The 1,856-nt window shown below is 37.9% G+C and overlaps 1 non-coding gene across 1 annotated transcript; it reads left to right on the top strand.

Moving 5' to 3' along the window:
* The first annotated feature begins 1,757 nt into the window (after window positions 1-1,757).
* Window positions 1,758-1,856, top strand: MIR573 (microRNA 573). The gene has a single exon (NR_030299.1). It is a non-coding gene; the product is annotated as a microRNA 573 (primary transcript).

Below are 1,856 nucleotides of genomic sequence, written 5' to 3'. Positions count from 1 at the left end.
GACCAAGAGGAAAGAAACTTCAAGTTAATGGACTACCTTGAAATTTTAGGCAAAACCTGTACCTGTGTCATGGGAGAGACTGGGATTATGGCCACACTTGATCTGAAGTTGAGGTCAAACTTGGTGATGTTGCCTTGAAAATAGAGATTTTCATAGACCAGGACGAAGATAGAAGGGAAAGTTACAAGGGACTTCAGCTTAAATTTAGTCTCTCTTATCTTGGCACAGAGGGATGTATCTGTTAATCTGAGGTGGATCAAGTTCAGGCTTGAGAGAGGGAGTAATGCATGAGACTTTGAAAGTAGTTTGATTGTGAGTAAGCAAGAGATGGTGAAAGAGATGCCTTAGATCATGGGCATACTTAGATCTTACAATTTTGATGATGAATTCACGCTAGCCTGAGAACTGAAGTGGAAGGCTACCCCTGGTTGATGATGGGTAGCAGGGATGTAGAAAAGTGCTAAAGTCTTTAAGATCTTGCCCTTTAAAAGAATCATCAGGTGGGGCAGATGATTAAAGATCATTACTTAGGGTTTAATGCGTTCAGTGTGTTTAGATTTGCGTGGCAGTTATACCCATAAACTCATCAAGAACCAGTGGATTTTCTGTATGTCATGTTCTGTGGTTTTTGGTTAGTAGCATTGATGAACATACTCTACACTCAATAATAAACATGAAGACTTTGCTGAGAGGTTTCTTCATTTCAGCTCATAGATTTGCAACTTATGTAAAGAATTGTTAGGCAGTTTAAACTAGAAAATTTGGCTCAGCCAAATCTGAGGTAAGATTAAAATAAGGCATGCTATCAGTTTGAGGGACTGAGTTACTTAAAACCATGAATAGATAGAAATTCATTCTAATGATTACACAGGTGTGTGTTTTTTATTTTAGATTATATTAAAAAGTACAGTTGCTAAGATGCTGGGAAATATTTCAACTGTGGCACTAGCACTGTTAGCTTTAGCAGAGAAGCTAGTTTTTTTTTTTTTTTTTTTTTTTTAATAGGAGACAGGGTCTCACTCTGTCTCTCAGGCTAGAGTGCAGTGGTGCCATCTCGGCTCACTGCAGCCTCTGCCTCACAGGTTCAAGCGAGTCTCATGCCTCAGCCTACCGAGTAATTGGGATTACAGGCACCCGCCACCACGCCCAGCTAATTTTTGTATTTTTAGTAGAGATGGGGTTTCACCATGTTGGTCAGGTTGGTCTTGAACTCCTAACCTCAAGTGGTCTGCCCTCCTCAGCCACCTTAAGTGTTGGGATTACAGGCGTGAGCCACCATGCCCAGCTGGTATTGAGTTCTTAAGAAGGGAAATACATTGATTTTTAAGGAAGATAGATAAAACTTGTGCAGTAGATTATAAAAGAAATGATTAGAATTTCATCTCTGACTGATTTGTGATAACGAGTATGTTATTATTTTAGATTATTTGCTTTTTAGTGTACTGTCTCAGTTCTGCTTACACAAAAACATGCTGAAGACTTTTTTGTAAGATATTTACTTAAAAAATTTTAAAGTTTTATATTTGGGTGTTTTGTTGAATCACTGTTTCCCAAGATTATATTAATGAAATACAGCTTACAACTCATTTTCTTTTTTCTTATTATTTCCCTTTTTACACTTAAGGAGGGCTGAATGGATAACTTTTAAGGTATTGTCTTAAGTGTTAAATGTCTGAGTATGCTTTCCTTGCCTCTCCAGAAATATTTTAATAACCTTAGAGAAACATGTAGGATTTTCTACAAAAAGTGTCGGCTGCTTTAGCGGTTTCTCCCTGAAGTGATGTGTAACTGATCAGGATCTACTCATGTCGTCTTTGGTAAAGTTATGTCGCTTGTCAGGGTGAGGAGAGTTTTTG

The sequence above is a fragment of the Homo sapiens genome, chromosome 4 (assembly GCF_000001405.40).
Source record: "Homo sapiens chromosome 4, GRCh38.p14 Primary Assembly".
NCBI classification, from domain to species: Eukaryota; Metazoa; Chordata; class Mammalia; order Primates; family Hominidae; genus Homo; species Homo sapiens.
The sequence above is the reverse complement of the archived record's forward strand: the minus strand, read 5'-3'. Positions and strand labels throughout refer to the sequence as shown.